An 18601-nucleotide genomic window follows, 5' to 3' on the forward strand; every position below is an offset into this window, starting at 1 on the left:
CCATCCCCCACTCCCTCAGCACTATGCAAACACCAACTTACTTTCTGTCTCTGTGGATTTACCTATTCTAGACATTTTATATAACTAAAGTCATACAATATGTGGTCTTTTGTGGTTTGTGTCTTCTAGTTACCACATTTTTGAGTTTCATCCATGTTGTAGCATGCATTAGTACTTCACATGTTTTATTGAATAACATTCCATTGTATGGATAAAAGCACATTATGTTTGCCCATTAATCAGTTGATGGACATTTGGGTGGTTTCCACTTTTTGGCTGTTACGCATAATGCTGCTATGAACATCGGTGTACAAATTTTTTGTTGGAATACCTGTTTTTGTGTCTTGGATATATATGTAGAAGAGTTACATGATTGTTCTGTATTTAACAATTTGAGGAACGTGAGACTTTTCCAAGTTGGCTTCACTATTTTACATTCCCACCAACAATGTATGAGTATTGTTCTGATTTTCCCAATTTCTGGCCAGTGCTTGTTGTTATTTACACTTTTGATTACAGCCATTCTGATGGCTATAAAGTGGTTCCTCATTGTAGTTGTGATTTACATTTCTCTGATGGCTAAATATGTTGAGCATCTTTTTATGTGATTATAGCCATTTATATATCTTCTTTGGAGAAATGTCTTTTCAGATCCTGTGTCCATCTTTAAATTGGGTTATTTGTATTTTTATTGCTCAATTTTAACATTTCCTTATATATTCTGATTACAAGTCTGTTATTATATATGTGGTTTGAAAATGTTTTACCATTATATGGGTCGTCTTATTTTCTTGAGGGTATGCTTTGAAGTATGTAAGTTTTAAATTTTGGCAAATTCATCTTTTTTTTTGTTATTGCTTATATTTTGTTTTTGCTAAGGAAACATTGCCTAATCCAAGGTCATAAAGATTTACTTTTCTGTTTTCATTTAATAGTTTTACCTTGAGCACTTACGTCTGTGATCTATTTTGAGTTACTTTTTGTATATGATATGGGATAGGGATTTAAGTTCATTCAGTTGTCCAAGCACCATTTGCTGAAATGACCACTCTTTCCCCATTAAATTTTCCTGGCAGCTTTGTCAAAAATAAGATAATCATACATAAATATGTAGTTATATATTTGTTAATTTAATGATTTTAACAAATTATAATTGCATACAACTAGAAGTAGTGTGATGCTATTTTATATAATATATATTATATATGTGTATATATGCACAGTGGGAAATGATTTAATCAAACTAATTAATATATCCATAACCTTACTTTATTCCTACTGTTCAGATGCAACTTTTTACTGTTTGACCAACATCACCCTATTTCACCCCACCTAGCCTCTGCTAACCAACATTATTTTAGATTCCACATATAAGTGAGACCATGTGGTATTTGTATTTCTGCATCTGGCATATTTCACTTAGTATAGTGTCCTCCACATTCATCCATGTTGTTGCAAATACAGAATCTTCTTTTTTATAAGGCTGGATAGTATTCCACTGTATATGTGTGTGTATATTATATATATGTAAAACATAAATATATAATATATATATAAAATACACATATACAGTGGAAATGTTACATAAGAAACACATATAAAGACACATATATAAAGGAACATATATAGAGAACATAAGAAGAACACATGTAGACATAAGAAGAACATAAAGAACATATATATGTTCTTTATATATGTTCCTTTATATATGTTTTTATAAACAACATATATTCTTTAAGATATTTTATAAAGAACATATATTCTTTATAAAAACATATATAAAGGAACATATATAAAGAAAATGTTTTATATGTATATATATATATATACACACACACACACAGACATATTTTCTTTATCCATTCATCCATTGATGGACACTTGGGTTGATTCCATAACTTGTCTATTGTAAATAATGCTGCATGTAAAGGTATATTTCGGGGCATTCAATTATATTTCTATGGTTTATATGTCAGTGTACTATATGTGTACCTTTGCCAGTTCCACACAGTTTTGATTTCTGTAGCTGTGTAGTACATTTTGAAACTTGGAAGTGTGAGTCCTCCAGTGTTGTTCTTTCTTTTTAAATTCTTTTTTTTCTTTGGCATCCCTTGCATTTCTGTATGACTCATAGGATCAGCATGTCAATACCTGCAAAAAACCCAGCTGGGATTTTGATAAGGATTCTGTTGAATATTTAGTTGAACATGGGAAGCAGTGTCATCTTTACAATATTAACTCTTTTAATTCATAAGCATGGATGCCTTTCCATTTAATTGCATCTTTTTTAGTTGCTTTCAGCAATAGTTTTTAGTTTGCAGAGTTTATACTTCACCCTTTTTTCTTAAATTTATTTCTAAACATTTTATTCTTTTTGATGCTGTTATAAGTAGAATTGTTTTCTTAATATTAATTTTGGTTTCTTCATATCTATCCAGTGTACATAAACACACGTGACCACTGTATTTACGTATGATTTTTGTATTTTCATTTTGTAACTTGCAACATTGTTGAATTGGTTTATTGCTTCTCATAGGTTTTCTTGTGGATTCTTTAAGATAGTTTATATATTAATAAAAAATCCTGTCATCTGCAAAGGAAGAAACTTTTACTTCCTTTCTGATCTGGATATATTGTATTTCTTGCCTGATTGGCCTGGTTAGAACCTCGATTACAATGTTGAAAATAAGTTTCTAGAGCATAAATCCTCGTCTTCTTCCCGATTTATTTATTTACTTATGTCAATCTTTTGCCGTTAAGTGAAATATAAGTTTGACATATATTTTTTCCACATTTATTAAGCTGGTTTTACCTAAAAGCGCTTTTTTTTTCTTTTTATTTTTAAAGTAGGTTCAGGAGCTACATGTGCTTTACTCATTTTTACATGGGTAAAATACATGTTAATGGGGTTTGCTGAAGGAATTATGCTGTCACTCAGGGAGTGAGTTTAGTACACAATAATTAGTTTTTTAACTATCAACCCACTTCCACTATCCTCTCCAAGTAGTCCTCAGTGTCTGTTGTTCTCAGCTTTGTGTCCTTGTATACTGTGTTTAGTTCCCACTTGTAAGTGGGAACACGTGATATTTGATTTTCTGTTCCTGTGTTAGGTGGCTTAGGATGATGGCCTCAAGCTGCATCCATGTTTCTGCAAAGGACATGATTTCATTGTTTTTATGACTGTGTAGTATTCCAGGGTCTATACCACATTTTCTTAAATCCAGGCCACTGTTGAAGGGCATCCAGGCTGATTTCATATCTTTGCTATTGTTAATAATGCAGCAATGAACATATGAGTGCATGTGTCTTTTTTGTAGAATGATATATTTGCTTTTAGAGGTATATCCAGTAATGCGGTTGCTGGTTTGAATACTAGTTCTGTTTTAAGTTGTTTAAGAAATCTCAAAATGGCTTTCCACAGTGGCTGAACTAATTTACATTCCCACCAACAGTGTATAGGCATTTTCTTTTCACCACAAACCTAGGCAGCATCTGCTATTTTTTGACTTTTTAATAATAACCATATTAACTGGTGTGAGAAGGTATCTCACTGTGGTTTTGATTTGCAAATCTTTGATGATAAGTGGAGTTGTGAATGTTTTCATATATTTAATAGCTCCTTTAAATAGTCTTCTTTTGGGAAGTGTCTGCTCATGTCCTTTCACCATTTTTTAAATGGGGCTATTTGGTTTTTGCTTCTTGATTTGTTTCAGTTCCTTATAGATTCTGGATATTACACCTTTGTCAGATGCATAGTTTACGAATATTTTCTCCCATTTTGTATGTAGTCTGTTTACATTGTTGATCGTTTCTTTTGCTGTGCAGAAGCTCTTTAGTTTAATTAGGTCTCATTTGTCAATTTTTGTTTTTGTTACAGTTGCTTTTTGGGACTTAGTCATAAAATCTTTGCCAAGGCCTATGTTGAGAAAAGTATTTCCTAGGTGTTCATTTAGGGTTTTTATAGGTTGAGGTCTTATGCTTAAATCTTTAATTCAGCTTGAGTTGATTTTTGTAAGTGGTTAAAGAAAGGGGTCCAATTTTAATCTTCTGCATATAGTTATCCAGTTATCAAAGCACAGTTTATTGTATAGGAAGTCCTTTCCCCATTACTTGTCATTGTCAACTTTGTCAAATATCAGATGGTTGTAAGTGTGCAGCTGTATTTCTTGGTTCTCTCTCCTGTTCCATTGGTCCATGGATGTGTTTTTGTACCAGTATTATGCTGCTTTGGTTACTTTAGCCTTGTAGTGTAGTTTCAAGTTGGTAAGTGTGATGCTTCTGGCTTTGCTCTTTTTGCTTAGGATTGCTTTGATTATTCAGGCTCTTTTTTTGGTTCTATGTGAATTTTGAAATTGCTTTCTATACTTCTGTGAAAAATGGCATTGGTAGTTTGATAAGAATAGCATTGAATATATTGATAGCTTTGGGCAGTATGGCCATTTAAATGATATTAATTCTTCCCATACATGAGCATGGAATATTTTTCCAATTGTTTGTGTTGTCTCTATTTCTTTCAGTACTGTTTTGTAGTTCTCAATGTAGAGATCCTTCATGTTTTTGTTTGGATGTATTCCTAGATATTTTATTCTTTTTGTGGCTATTGCAAATGGGATTGCATTATTGATCTGGCTCTCAATGTGAATGTTATTGTCATATAGAAATGCTATTGATTTTTGTACATTAATTTTGTATCCTGAAACTTAACTGAAGTCATTTTTCAGTTCTAGGAGCCTTGTGGCAGAGTCTTTAGCATTTTCTAGCAATAGAATCATATCATCTGCAAAGACAGATAGTGTGACTTCCTCTTTTTCTATTTGGGTGCCTTTTATTTCTTTCTCTTGCCTAATTGCTCTGGCTACAAATTTCAGCACTGTGTTAAGTAGGAGTGGTGAGAGTGGGCATCCTTGCCTTGTTCCAGTTCTCAAGGGGAATGCTTCCAGCTTTTGCTCATTCAGCATGATGTTGGCTGTGGGTTTTTCATACATGGCTGTAATTAGTTTGATGTATGTTCCTTCAGAGCCTAATTTGTTGAGGATTTTTAATATGAAGTGATGTTGTATTTTATCAAAAGCCTTCTCTGCATCTCTTGAGATGGGTACGTGGTTTTGTTTTTAATTCTATTTTGTGGTGAATCACATTTATTGATTTGCAGATGTTGAATCAACCTTGCATCCCAGGAGTGAAGCCTATTTAATCATGAGGTATTAACTTTTTGTTGTGGTGCTCAATTTGGTTTGCTAGTATTTTGTTGAGGATTTTTGTGTGTATGTTCATCAGGGGTATTGGCCTGAAGTATCCTTCTATTATTGTGTCTCTGTGAGGTTTTGGTATCTTAATGGTGCTGACTTCATAGAATGAGATAGGGAGGTGCCCCTTGTCCTTGATTTTTTGGTATAATTTTAGTAGGATTGGTACTAGCTCTTCTTGGCACATTTGGTCAAATTCAGCTGTAAATCCATCTGATCTAGGGCTTTATTTTTTGCTTAGTAGGTGTTTTTTATTACTGATTCAATTTCAGAAGTTGTTATTGGTCTACTCAGGGTATCAAGTTTTTCAATGTTGGGAGGCTATGTGTTTCCAAAAACTTACCCATTTCTTCTAGGTTTTCTAGTTTATGTGCATAGAGGTGTTTGTTATAGTCTGTGATTATTTATTTTTTTTCGTATTTCCATGGGGTTATTGTAATGTCACTTTTTTCCATTCTGATTGAACTTATTTTTATCTTCTCCATTTTTTTCTTTGTTAGTTGAACTAGCAGACTATCAATCTTGCGTATTCTTTGAAAGAACAAACTTTTGGTTTTGTAGATCTTTGTATGAATTTTTGCATCTCAGTTTTATTTCGTTTTCCTCTGATTTTTGGTTATTTATTTTCTCCTGCTAGCTTTGGGGTTTGTTTGCTCTTGTTTTTCTAGTTCCTCCAGGTTTGATGTTAGGTTGTTACTTTGAGATCTTCCTTTTTGACGTCTTTAGTGCTATAAACTTACCTCTTAACACTTCTTTAGCTCTGTCCCAACAATTCTAGTATGTTGTGGCTCTTTTTTCATTAGTTTCAAATAATTTATTGGTTTCTCCATTGATTTTGTTTTTTACTCACAGTCATTTATAAGTGCATTGTTTAATTCCATGTAACTGTATGCTTTTGAGAGATCTTCTTAGTATTGATTTCTATTATTGTTATACTTTGGTCTTAGAATGTGAGTGATATGGTTAGATTTTTTTTTAAATTTGTTGAAACTTGTTTTATGGTCAAGCATGTGATCCATCTTAGAGCATGTACTGCATGCAGATGAGAAGAATGTGCATTCTGTTCTTATTTGGTGGAGTATTCTGTAGATGTCTATTATATCCAATTGTTCAAGTGTTGAGTTTAAATCCAACATATCTTTATTAGTTTTCTGCTTGGATGGTCTGAAACATTGTCAGTGAGGTGTTGATGTCTTCTAATATCATTTTATCATAATCTACATCTGTTCATAAGTCTCTATGTACCTGTTTTATGAATCTGAGTGTTCCAAATTTGGGTGTATATATATTTAGAATAGTTAAGTTTTCTAGTTGAATTGAACCCTTTTTTATTATGTAACGACCTTCTTTGTCCTTTTAAATTACTGTTGGTTTAAAGTCTGTTTTATCTGATATAAGAATAGCAATCCCTGCTCTTTGTTTTCTGTTTGCATGATAAATATTTCTCCATCCCTTTACTGTGGACCTGTGGGTATCATCGCATATGAGATGGGTCTCCTGAAGACTGCAGACAGTTGAGTCTTGCTTCTTTATCCAGCTTGCCACTCTATGCCTTCTAAGTGGGGACATTTAGCCTGTTTATGTTCAAGGTTAATATTGATGTGCAAGGATATGATCCTGTCATCATGTTGTTAGATCGTTGTTATGTAGACTTGATTATGTAGTTGCTTAATAGTGTCTGTGGCATATGTATGTAAGTGTGTTTTTGTGATGGTAGGTATCTTTCTTTCATTTCCAAGTTTAGCACTCACTTAAGGATGCCTTTTCAGGCAGATCTAGTGGTAACAAATTCTCTTAGCATTTGCTTCTCTGAAAAGGAATTTATTTCGCCTTCACATATGAAGCCTCGTTTGGTGGGATATGAAGTTATTTGTTGTAATTTATTTTCTTAAAGATGCTGAAAATAGGCCCCCAATCTCTTCTGGCTTCTAATGTTTTTGGTGAAAGGCCCATGTTAGCCTGGTAAGGCTGCCTTTATAGGTGACCTGATCCTTCTCTCTAGCTGTCTTTACAATTTTTCTTTCACATTCACTTTGGAAAATCTGATGAGTCTGTGTTTTGGGGATGTTTGTCTTGTATGATATCTCAAAAGCGTTCTCTGAATTTTTTAATTTGCATGATGACCTCTCTAGTGATATTGGGAAAATTTTCGTGGACTGTGTCCTAAAATATGTTTTCAAAGTTCCTTACTCTTTCTCCTCATTCAGGAATACCAATGAGTTATAGGTTTGGTCTCTTTACATAACTCCATATTTTTCAGAGATTTTGTGCATTTTTAAAATTATTTTTTAAATTTTTGTTTACTTGCATTGATTCAAAGAAGTGGTCTTTGAGCTCTGGGATTCCTCAGCTTGATCTATTCTGTTGCTAATGCTTCCAATTGTATTATGAAATTTGTGTACTAAATTTATTATCAGAAGTTCAGTATGGTTCCTTCTTAAGATGGCTAGGTCATCTTTGAACTCTCGCATTATTTTACCATTTTTCTTGTTTGGTTTCAACCCTCTGTATCTCTTTGAGCTTGGTTTCCATCCAGAGGCTGAATTCTGTGTTTGACAGTTCAACCATTTCAATCTGGTAAGAACCATTGCTGGGGAGCTAGTGTGATCATTTGGAGATAAGACGACACTCTGGCTTTTAGAGTTGCCAGAGTTTTTGTGCTGGTTCTTTGTCACCTGTGAAAGCTGATGTTAATTTATTCTTTGAAATTGCTGTCTTTTGGATGGGGCTTCTTGTTTTTATAGTCTTAATTTCTCTTGAGTGTTTGTGGTGCAAGTTAAATATGGTTGATTGGCTTCACGTCTGGATGCTTTTAGAGGGCCAAGGCTCACCTTGTCACTCTTGGACTGCTGCTTTTATCCTGGGGGACTGGGACTGAGCCCGTAGTCTTGTTATCTGGCCCCTTGAGACTGAGCACCAGCTGTGCTAGGGGGGTTGAGAGTCTCCCAAGCTGCTGGTAAAAGCATTCTGTTGGGGTTAGAAGGTGAAAGTGCTCCATCAGGTCAGTGGGGGTTGGTTTGTAAAAGCACTACGTCAGGGCAGTGGGGGCAATAGTCACAAGCACTCCCTCAGAGCGGCAGGGAGCCACTGGCTAAAGGGCTCCAGTGGGGCAGTGGTGGGGGCGGGGGCACTGGGGAAAGCACTCTGGTGGGATGGTGGGAGGGGCCCCCAGTGAAAGCAATCTGGTAGTGGTCACCTGCAAAAGCCCTCTGGTTGAGCAGTGGTGGCTTCACTGTGTGCCCGCTCCCATGGTGAAGTGGACAGGGGGCACTTAGATCAGTTTTGCCCTTGTTCTGTGGGAAAGACAGCTCTGCTCTCTTCAAGTCCTGTAGTTAACACAGCTGAGAGCCATCTAGAGGAGTATGGAGAGCATTGATGAATGGGCACCTACGGCCATGTTCCTTTGCAGCTATCCCCATGGCAACTCCCTGGGCTCTGTCTGTTCCATCTCTTTGTGCAGTTCCTCCTTTCAATTTATATGTCCGTAAGAGTCATGGGATTTCCTGCAGTTAAGATCTTGCAGATCTGTGGTGAGAGTGGGTTACTCCACAGTTAGTTCATTCACCCCTACCTTAGGAGCCTTTCAGGGCCAGGAATGAATCCCAGTGCTTGGCAGCCCAGTGCAGGGTTCGCAGCTTCCTCTCTCTTCAGCCCCAATTTCTATATTTTTCTCTCTACTCACTCTCAGTGTATTTTCTGAGACGATTTGTTTGGAATATGCTGTTCTACCCTATATTCTGGTCTCTCTCAGTGGGAGAAGCTCATCCTGGCTGTGTCTTGTTGAGCATCTTGTCACAGTCTTTTGGGTTTTCCATAGATGTTCTTTATCAGGTTTAAGAAGTTCGATTCGATTTCTAGTTTGTTGACCGCTTATCATGAAAGTGTTGGGTTTTGGCAAATGCTTTTTTCTACACTTATGGAGAAAATTATGTTTTCTTTTTATTCATTTAGTATATTACATTAATTGATTTTCATATGTTGAACCAACTTTGAATTTCTGAAAGTTCCACTTAGCCATGGTGCATAATCTCTTTTATATATTGCTGGATTTTGGTTTACTATACATTTTCATCAGGATTTTTGCATGTTTATTCATAAGGGGATATTGGTCTGTCATTTTTTATATCGTGATATGTTTTTATACTTTTGCTATCAGGTTAATATTGACCCCAAAGAATATATTGTAATGCTTGTTCTGCTCTTCCATATTTTGGAAGAATTTTCAAAGGATTGGTGTTAATTTTTCTTAAATATCTGGTAGCGTTTACCAGTAAAGCCATCTGAACCTGGACTTCCCTATGTGGGAAGTCATTGGATTACTAATTCAGTATCTTTACTCATTACATACCTTTTTAAGTATTCTATTTCTTTTAACTCAGTTTTGACAGATTTTAACATTTTCCAACTATACTAGTTCATACAATTCCCTTATAATCCTACATATTTCTCTATAGTCAGTAGTGATGTCTGCTTTTTTATTCCTGATTTTAGTAATTTTAGTGTTCTCTCTATTTTTATTGATCTATCTAGCTAAAGGATTGTCATTTTTGTTTATCTTTCAAAGAACCAAGTTTGGGTTTTGTTGATTTTCTCTATTGTTTTTCTGTTTTATATTTTGTTGATTTCCCCTCTAATCATTAGCTTGCTTTTGTTTAGTTTGCTCATATTTTCCAGTTTCTCATTAAAGTGGGAGTGAATGTATTGATCTGAAAAATTTATTAAATTAAAATATTACAAATATACATTTTCCTCCAAGCACTTTTTAAACTACATCCTATAAGTTTTGTTATATTGTGTGTGTGTGTGTGTGTGTGTGTGTGTGTGTGTGTGTGTGTGTTTCTTTTATTTATACCAAGGTCTTTTCTCATTTTTTTCTTTAACCCACTGGTTAGGAATTTGTTTTTATTTTTTATTTATATTTTTAATGTTTTCAAATTATTATAATTTTTTCCATGGGTTATTGGGGAACAGGTGGTGTTTGGTTACATGAGTAATTTCTTTAGTGATTTGTGAGATTTTGGTGCACCCATCACCTGAGCAGTATACACTGCACCCAATTTGTGGTCTTTTATCTCCCACCTGCTTCCCACCCTTTCTCCCTGAGTCCTCAAAATCCACTGTGTCATTCTTATGCCTTTGTATCCTCATAGCTTGTCTCTCACTTATGAGTGAGAATATTTAGTTTGGTTTTTTATTCTTGAGTTACTTCACTTAGAATAATAGTCTCCAGTCTCATCCAGGTTGTTATGAATGCCATGAATTTATTCCTTTTTATGGCTGAATAGTATTTCATTATACGTACACGTATATACACACGCATATACATACACGTATATACACACGCATATACATACACGTATATACACACGTATATACATACACGTATATACACATGTATATATGTATATACATGTTTATATGTATATACATATATAAGTATACATATATACGTATATATACGTATATACGTATATATGTATATACGTATATACGTACATATATACGTATATACGTATATATGTATATATGTGTGTATATATATAAAATACACGTATATATATGTTTTTATATATATATATATATAAATCACAGCTTCTTTATTCACTCGTTGATTGATGGGCATTGGGTTGGTTCCACGTTTTTGCAGTTGTGAATTGTGCTGCTATAAACATGCATGTGCAAGTATCTTTTTCGTATAATGACTTATTTTCCCCTGGGTAGATACCCAGTAGTGGGATTGCTGGATCAAATGGTAGTTCTACTGTTAGTTCTTTAAGGAATTTCCACACTGTTTTCTATAGTGACTATACTAGTTTACAGAGGTGTTCCCTGATCACCACATCCATGCCAACATCTGTGTTTCTTTTTTTATTTTTTGATGATGGCCATTCTTGCAGGAATCAGGTAGTATCACATTGTGGTTTTGATTTGCATTTCCCTGATCATTAGTGATGTTGAGCATTTTTTTATATGTTTGTTGGCCATTTGTATATCTTCTTTTGAGAATTGTCTATTCATGTCCTTAGCCCACTTTTTGATGGAATCATTTGTTTGTTTGTTTGTTTCTGATTTGTTTGAGTTAATTATGCATTCTGGATATTAGTCATTTTTCAGATGTATAGATTGTGAAGATTTTCTCAACTCTGTGAGTTGTCTGTTTACTCTACTGACTCTTCCTTTTGCCATACAAAAGCTCTTTAGTTAAGTCCCAGGTATTTATCTATCTTTGTTTTTATTGCATTTGCTTTTGGGTTCTTGGTCATGAAATCCTTGCCTAAGCCAATTTCTAGAAGGGTTTTTCCAATGTTATCTTCCAGAATTTTTATAGTTTCTGGTCTTAGATTTAAGTCCTTGATCCATCTTGAGTTGATTTTTTTTATATAAAATGAGAGATGAGGATCCAGTTTCATTCTCCTACATGTGGCTAGCCAATTATCCCAGCACCATTTGTTGAAAGGGGTGTTCTTGCCCTACTTTATCTTTTTGTTTGCTTTGTCAAAGATAAGTTGGCTGTAAGTATTTCGGTTTATTTCTGGGTTCTCTTTTCTGTTCCATTGGTCAATGTGGCCATTTTTATACCAGTACCATGTTGTTTTTGTGACTATGGCTCTATAGTATAGTTTGAAATCAGGTAATGTGATGCCTCCAGATTTGTTCTTTTTGCTTAGTCTTTCTTTGGCTATACAGGCTCTTCTTTGGTTCCATATGAATTGTAGGATTGTGTTTTTTTTAATTCTGTGAAGAATGAGGGTGGTATTTTGATGGGAATTGTGATGAATTTGTAGATTGCTTTTGGCAGTATGGTCATTTTCACAATATTGATTCTACCCATCCATGAGCATGGGATGTGTTTTCATTTGTTTCTGTCATCTATGATTTTTTTCAGCAGGGTTTTGTAGTTTTCCTTGTAGAGGTCTTTAACAACCTTGGTTAGGTATATTCCTGAGTATTTTATTTTATTTTTTTGCAACTATTGTAAAGGGGATTGAGTTCTTGATCTGATTCTCAGCTTTGTCACTGTTGGTGTATAGAAGAGTTACTGATTTGTGTACATGAAATTTGTATCCAGAAACTTTGCTGAATTTTTAAAATCAGTTTCAGGAGCTTTCTGGAAGAGTCTTTAGGGTTTTCTAGGTAAACAATCATATAATCAGCAAACAGCAACAGTTTGACTTTCTCTTTACTGATTTGGATGCCCTTTATTTCTTTCTCTTGTCTGATTGTTCTGGCTAGGACTTCCAGCACTATGTTGAAGAGGAGTGGTGAGAGTGGGCATCCTTGTCTTGTTCCAGTTTTTAGAGGGAATGCTTTCAACTTTTCCCCATTCAGTATTATGTTGGCTGTGGGTTTGTCCTAGATGGCTTTTATTACATTGATGTACCTTATATGCTGATTTTGCTGGGAGTTTTAATCATAAAGGAAGCTGGATTTTGTTGAATCCTTTTTTTGCATCTGTTGATATGATCATGTGATTTTTGTTTTTAATTCTGTTTATGTGGGGTATCACATTTATTGACTTGTGTATGTTAAACTGTCCCTGCATCCCTGGTATGACATCCACTTGATCATGATGTGTTAACTTTTTGATATGTTATTGGATTCGTTTACCTAGTTTTTTTCTTTAGGATTTTACCATGTACGTTAATCAAGGATATTGGTCTGCAGTTGTTTTTTTGTTTTGTTTTGTTTGTTTGTTTGTTTGTTTTTGGTTATGCCTTTTCCCGATTTCTGTATTAGGGTGATACTGACTTCATAAAATGATTTAGGGAGGGTTTTCTCTCTATCCTGTGGAATAGTGTCAATAGGATTGGTACCAGTTCTTCTTCAAATGTCTGGTAGAATTCTGCTGTGAATCTTTCTGGTCCTGGCCTTTTTTTTTGTTTTTTTTTTTTTTGGTAATTTTGTAATTACCATTTCAATCTTGCTGCTTGTTATTGGTGTTTTCAGAGTGTCTGTTTCTTCCTGATTTAAGCTAGGAAGGTTGTGTCGTTCCAGCAATTTTTCCATCTCCTGTAGGTTTTCTAGTTCATGTGCATAAAGGTGTTCATAGTAGCCTTGAATGGACTTTTGTATTTCTGTGGTGTCATTTGTAATATCTCTTGTTTCATTTCTAATTGAGCTTATTTGGATTTTCTCTCTTCTTTTCTTGGTTAATCTTGCTAATGGTCTATAAATTTTATTTATCTTTTCCAAGAACCAGCTTTTTGTTTCATTTATCTTTTGCGGTTTTTTTTTTTTTTTCAGTTTCATTTAGCTCTGCTCTGATCTTTGTTATTTCTTTTCTGCTGGGTTTGAATTTGGTTTGTTCTTGTTTCTCCAGTTCCTGGAGGTGTCCTCTAGATTCCTTGAGAATCTAAATTCCTTAGGATTCTGTTTATGCTCTTTTAGACTTTTTGATGTAAGCATTTAGGGCTATGAACTTACCTTTTAGCACCACCTTTGCTGTATCACAGAGATTTTGATAGGTTATTTCACTATTATCATTCAGTTCAAAGAATTTTGTAATTTCCATCATGATTTCATTTTTGACCCAATAATTATTCAGGAGCAGGTTATTTAATTTCCATGTATTTTCATGGTTTCGAAGGTTCCTTTTTGAGTTGATTTCCAGTTTTATTTCACTGTGGTTTGAGAGAGTGCTTGATATAATTTCAATTTTCTTTTATCTACTGAGGCTCATTTTGTGGCCTATCATATGGTCTATCTTGGAGAAGTTTCCATGCACTATTGAACAGAATGTATATTGTCCAGTTGTTAGATAGAATGTAGTGTATATATTTGTTAAGTCTATTTGTTTCAGTGTATAGTTTAAATCCGTTTTTTTTTTTGTTTTTGTTGCCTTTCTGTCTTGATGACTTGTCTATTGCTGTCAGTGGAGTATTGAAGTCCCCCACTATTATTACTGTCTTACTGTCTATCTCATTTCTTAGGTCTATTAGTAATTGTTTTATAAATTTGGGAGCTCCAGTGTTAGGTGCATATGTGTGTAGGATTGTGATAGTTTCCTGTTGGGCAAGGCCTTTTATCATTATGTTATGTCCGACTTTTCCTTTTTTAACTGCTGTTGCTTTAAATTTTGTTTTGCCTGATATAAGAATAGCTACTTCTGCTCACTTTTTGTGTCCGTTTACATGGAATGTCAGTTTCTACCTTTTTACCTTAAATGTATATGATACCTTATATGTTAGGTGAGTCTCGTGAAGGCAGCAGATGGTTGGTGAGTTCCTATCCATTCTGCAATTCTGTACATTTTAAGTGGAGCATTTAGGCCATTTACATTCAATATTAGTATTGAGATGTGAGGTACCATTCCATTCATTGTGCTATTTGTAGCCTGTATACCTTGGTTTTTTATTTTTTTGTTTTAAGTTGTATTTTTGCTTTATAGGTTTTGTGAGATTTATGCTTTTAAAATGTCCTTTTTTGATGTGTTTCCAGGATTTGTTTCATGATTTAGAGCTCCTTTTAAAGCAATTCTTGTAGTACCTGCTTGTTAATGGCAAATTTTCTCAGCATTTGTTTGTCTGAAAAAGACTTTTTCTTTCTTTCATTTATGAATCTTAGTTTTGCTGGATACAAAATACTTGGCTGATAATTGTTTTGCTTAAGGAGGCTGAAGATAAGGCCCCAATTCCTTCTAGCTTGTAGGGTTTCTGCGGAGAAATCTGCTGTTAATCTGATAGATTTTATAGGTTACCTGGTGCTTTTGCCTGATAGCTCTTAATATTCTTTCTTTAATCTTATCTTTAGATATCCTGATGACCATGTGCCTAGGTGATGATTTTTTTGCGATAAATTTCCCAGGTATTCTTTGTGCTTCTTGTATTTATATGTCTAGGTTTCTAGCAAGGCTGGGGAAGTTTTCCTCTATTATTCCCCCAAATATGTTTTCCAAACTTTTAGATTTCTCTTCTTTCTCAAGAATGGCAATTTTTTCTTAAGTTTGGTCATTCAACATAATCTCAGACTTCTTGGAGGCTTTGTTCATATTTTTTTTTCTTTGTTGGATTTGGTTAATTCAAAGACCTTGTCTTCGACCTCTGAAGTTCTTCTGCTTGTTGAATTCTATTGCTGAGACTTTCCAGAGCATTTTGCATTTCAATAAGTGTGTGCATTGTTTCCTGACATTTTGATTTTTTTATTTATGCTATCTCATTGAATATTTCTCCCTTCACTTCTTGTTTGTTTGTTTGTTTTTAATTTCCTTTTATTGGGCTTCACCTTTTTCTGGTGGCTCCCTGATTAGCTTAATAACTAACCTTCTAAATTCTTTTTCAGGGAAATCAGGGATTTCTTCATGGTTTGGATCCATTGCTGGTGAGCTAGTGCAATTTTTTTTGGTAGTGTTAAAGAAACTTGTTTAGTCACGTTACCAGAGTTGGTGTTTTGGTTCCTTCTCATTTGGGTAGACTGTCTGAGGGAAGGTCTAGGCCTGAAGGCTGTTGTTCAGATTCTTTTGTCCTACAGGGTGTTCCCTTCATGTAGTATTCTCCCCATTTTCCAAGGGATGTGGCTTTCTGGGAGCCAAGCTGTAGTGATTGTTATCTCTCTTCTAGATCTAGCCACCCAGTGAGTATACCAGGCTCTGGGTTGGTACTAGGGCTTGTCTGCACAGAGTCCTGTGATGTGAACTCTCTGTGGGTCTCTCAGCCCTGGATACCAGCACCTATTCCGGTGGAGGTGACAGGGGGGCAAGATGGACTCTGAGAGTCCTTAGCTTTGGTTGCTTACTGCACTATTTTTGTGCTGGTTGGTCTCTTGTTGGAAAGTGGCACTTTCAAGAGAGCATCAGCTGTAGTAGTATGGGGAGGAACATGTGGTGGGTGGGGCCCTAGAACTCCTAAGAGTATATGCCTTTTGTCTTCATTTACCAAGGTGGGTAAGAAAGTACCATAAGGTGGGGACAGGGCTAGGCATGTTCGAGCTGAGACTCTCCTTGGGCAGGTCTTCTTGTGGCTGCTGTGGGTGATGGGGGTGAAGTTCCCAGATCAATGGAGTTATGTTCCTAGGAAGATTACGGCTGCCTTTACTTTGTCATGCATGTTGTCAGGGAAGTGGGGGAAAGCTGTCAGTCACAGGCCTCACCCAGCCCCCACTCAACCCAAAGGGCCAGTCTCACTCTCACCGTGCACCCCCCAACAACACGGAGTTTGTTTCCAGGCACTGAGCCAGCAGGGCTGAGAACTTGCCTCAGACTACTCACCTTCCAGTTGCGAAAGCAATTAAGGCTTTCATTCTTCTCCTGCCTGTGGAGTCTGCACACCAGATTCACGCCCTCCCCTGAGTTCTGGCCAGGAGACTTCTCAATCAGTTCAAATTGTTAACAGTGTTGAGCTAGAGGTTTCCTTCTCCCTGTGCCCTTTTCCCAGTGCCTCTGACTGCCCTCCCTAAGGACCCTTCTGAGGCAGGGCAGAAATGGCTTCTAGGGAACCCAGTGAGCCCACAGGCATTTTCCCACTCCTTTCTCTACCCTGTATTTCTCTTGGCTCTCTAAATTGACTCAGCTCCAAGTAAGGTCAGAATCTCTGTAACATAGACCTTCAGGTTTCCCAGTATTTGGGGTGTCTCCCTATTCCTGCAGGAACAGTCTGCTTTCTTCAGAGGGCCTGTGGGTTCTCTTGCCTTTACTAATGTATTTCTGCAGTTGTTATGGAGCAAAAGTTTATGATGTAAGCCTCCACACACTGCTCTGTCTGTCTGAGTGGGAGCTGCAATCTAGTCCTGCCTCCCATCTGCCATGAGTCTCCAGGAATGTGTTTTTAAATTTCTACTTCTTGTGAATTTCCTAAATTTTGTTCTGTTCTTGTTTTCTAATTTCTTTTCACTGTGGTTGGATAGCCTATTTCATATGAATCCAGTCTGTTTAAATTTACTGATTCTTGTTTTATTGCCTAATATGTGATCTATCATGCAGAATATTTTGTGTACACTTGAGAAGAATGAGTACTCTGATAGTGGCTGGAGCATTCTAAAGATGACTAATTGAAAATGGGGTATTGAAGCCATCAACTATTATTGTTCAGTTGGCCACTTGTCACTTTAATTCAGTCTGTTTTCTTCATTTACTGTGGGGCTCTTTTATTAGGTGCATTTTTTTAATTTTTATTTTTTCGGGTATATAGTTGGTGTATATATTTATGGGATACATGAGACTTTGATATGGACATACAATGTTTAATAATCACATCAGTAGATAGGGTATCAATCACCTCAAGCTTTTATTTCTTTTGTTACAGACAATCCAGTTATACTCTTTTATTTTTAAATGTGCACTAAATTATTGTTGACTGTAGTCACCCTCTTGTACTATCACATACTACATCTTATTCATTCTATCTAATTATATTTTTGTACCCATTAACCATCCCTAAGTCCCCCCTCCACTACTATTTCCAACCTCTTGTAACCATCATTCTACTCTCTGTCTCCATGAGTTCAGTTGTTCTAAAGTTTAGCTCCCACAAATAAGTGAGAACAAGTGAAGTTTATCTTTCTGTGTCTGGCTTATTTCATGTGATGTCCTCCATTTCCATCCATGTTGCTGCAAATAATAGGATCTCATTCTTTTATGGCTGAATAGTACTCCATTGTGTATTTGTGTCACATTTACTTTATCCTTTCGTTGTTGATGGACACTTGGGTTGCTTGCAAATCTTGTCTATGTGAATAGTGCTGTAATAAGCATGGGAGTGCAGTTATCTCTTTGGTATACTGACTTGCTCTCTTTTGGGTATAGACCTAACAGTGGGACTATTGGGTCATGTGCTAGTTCTATTTTTAGTCTTTTGAGGAACCTGCAAACTGTTCTCCATAGTGCTAGTACTAATTTACATTCCCACCAACAGTGTGCAAGGATTCCCTTTTCTCCACGATCTTGCCAGAATTTGTTATTGCCTGACATTTGGATGAAAGTCATTTTAACTGGGGTTAGGTGATATCTCATTGTAGTTAGTTTTGATTTGCATTTCTTGGTTGATCAGTGATGTTGAGCACCTCTTCATATGCCTGTTTGCCATTTGTATGTCTTCTTTTGAGAAATGTCTATGCAAATATTTTGCCCAATTTTTAATTGGATTATGAGATTTTTTCCTATATTGTTGTTTGAGTTTCTTATGTATTTTGATTATTGATTCCTTCTGAGATGGAGAGTTTGCAGGGTTTTTTTTTTTTTTTCCCATTCTGTGGTTTGTCTCGTAATTTTGATGATTGCTTCCTTTGCTGTGCAGAAACTTTTTAACTCAATGTGATCCAATTTGTCAATTTTTTCTTACGTTGCCTGCGCTTGTGGCAGTATTACTCAAGAAATTTTTCCCCACTCCAGAATGTCCTGGAGAGTTTCCCCAATGTTTACTTTT

The sequence above is a fragment of the Homo sapiens genome, chromosome X, assembly GCF_000001405.40.
Source record: "Homo sapiens chromosome X, GRCh38.p14 Primary Assembly".
Classification (NCBI taxonomy): Eukaryota; Metazoa; Chordata; class Mammalia; order Primates; family Hominidae; genus Homo; species Homo sapiens.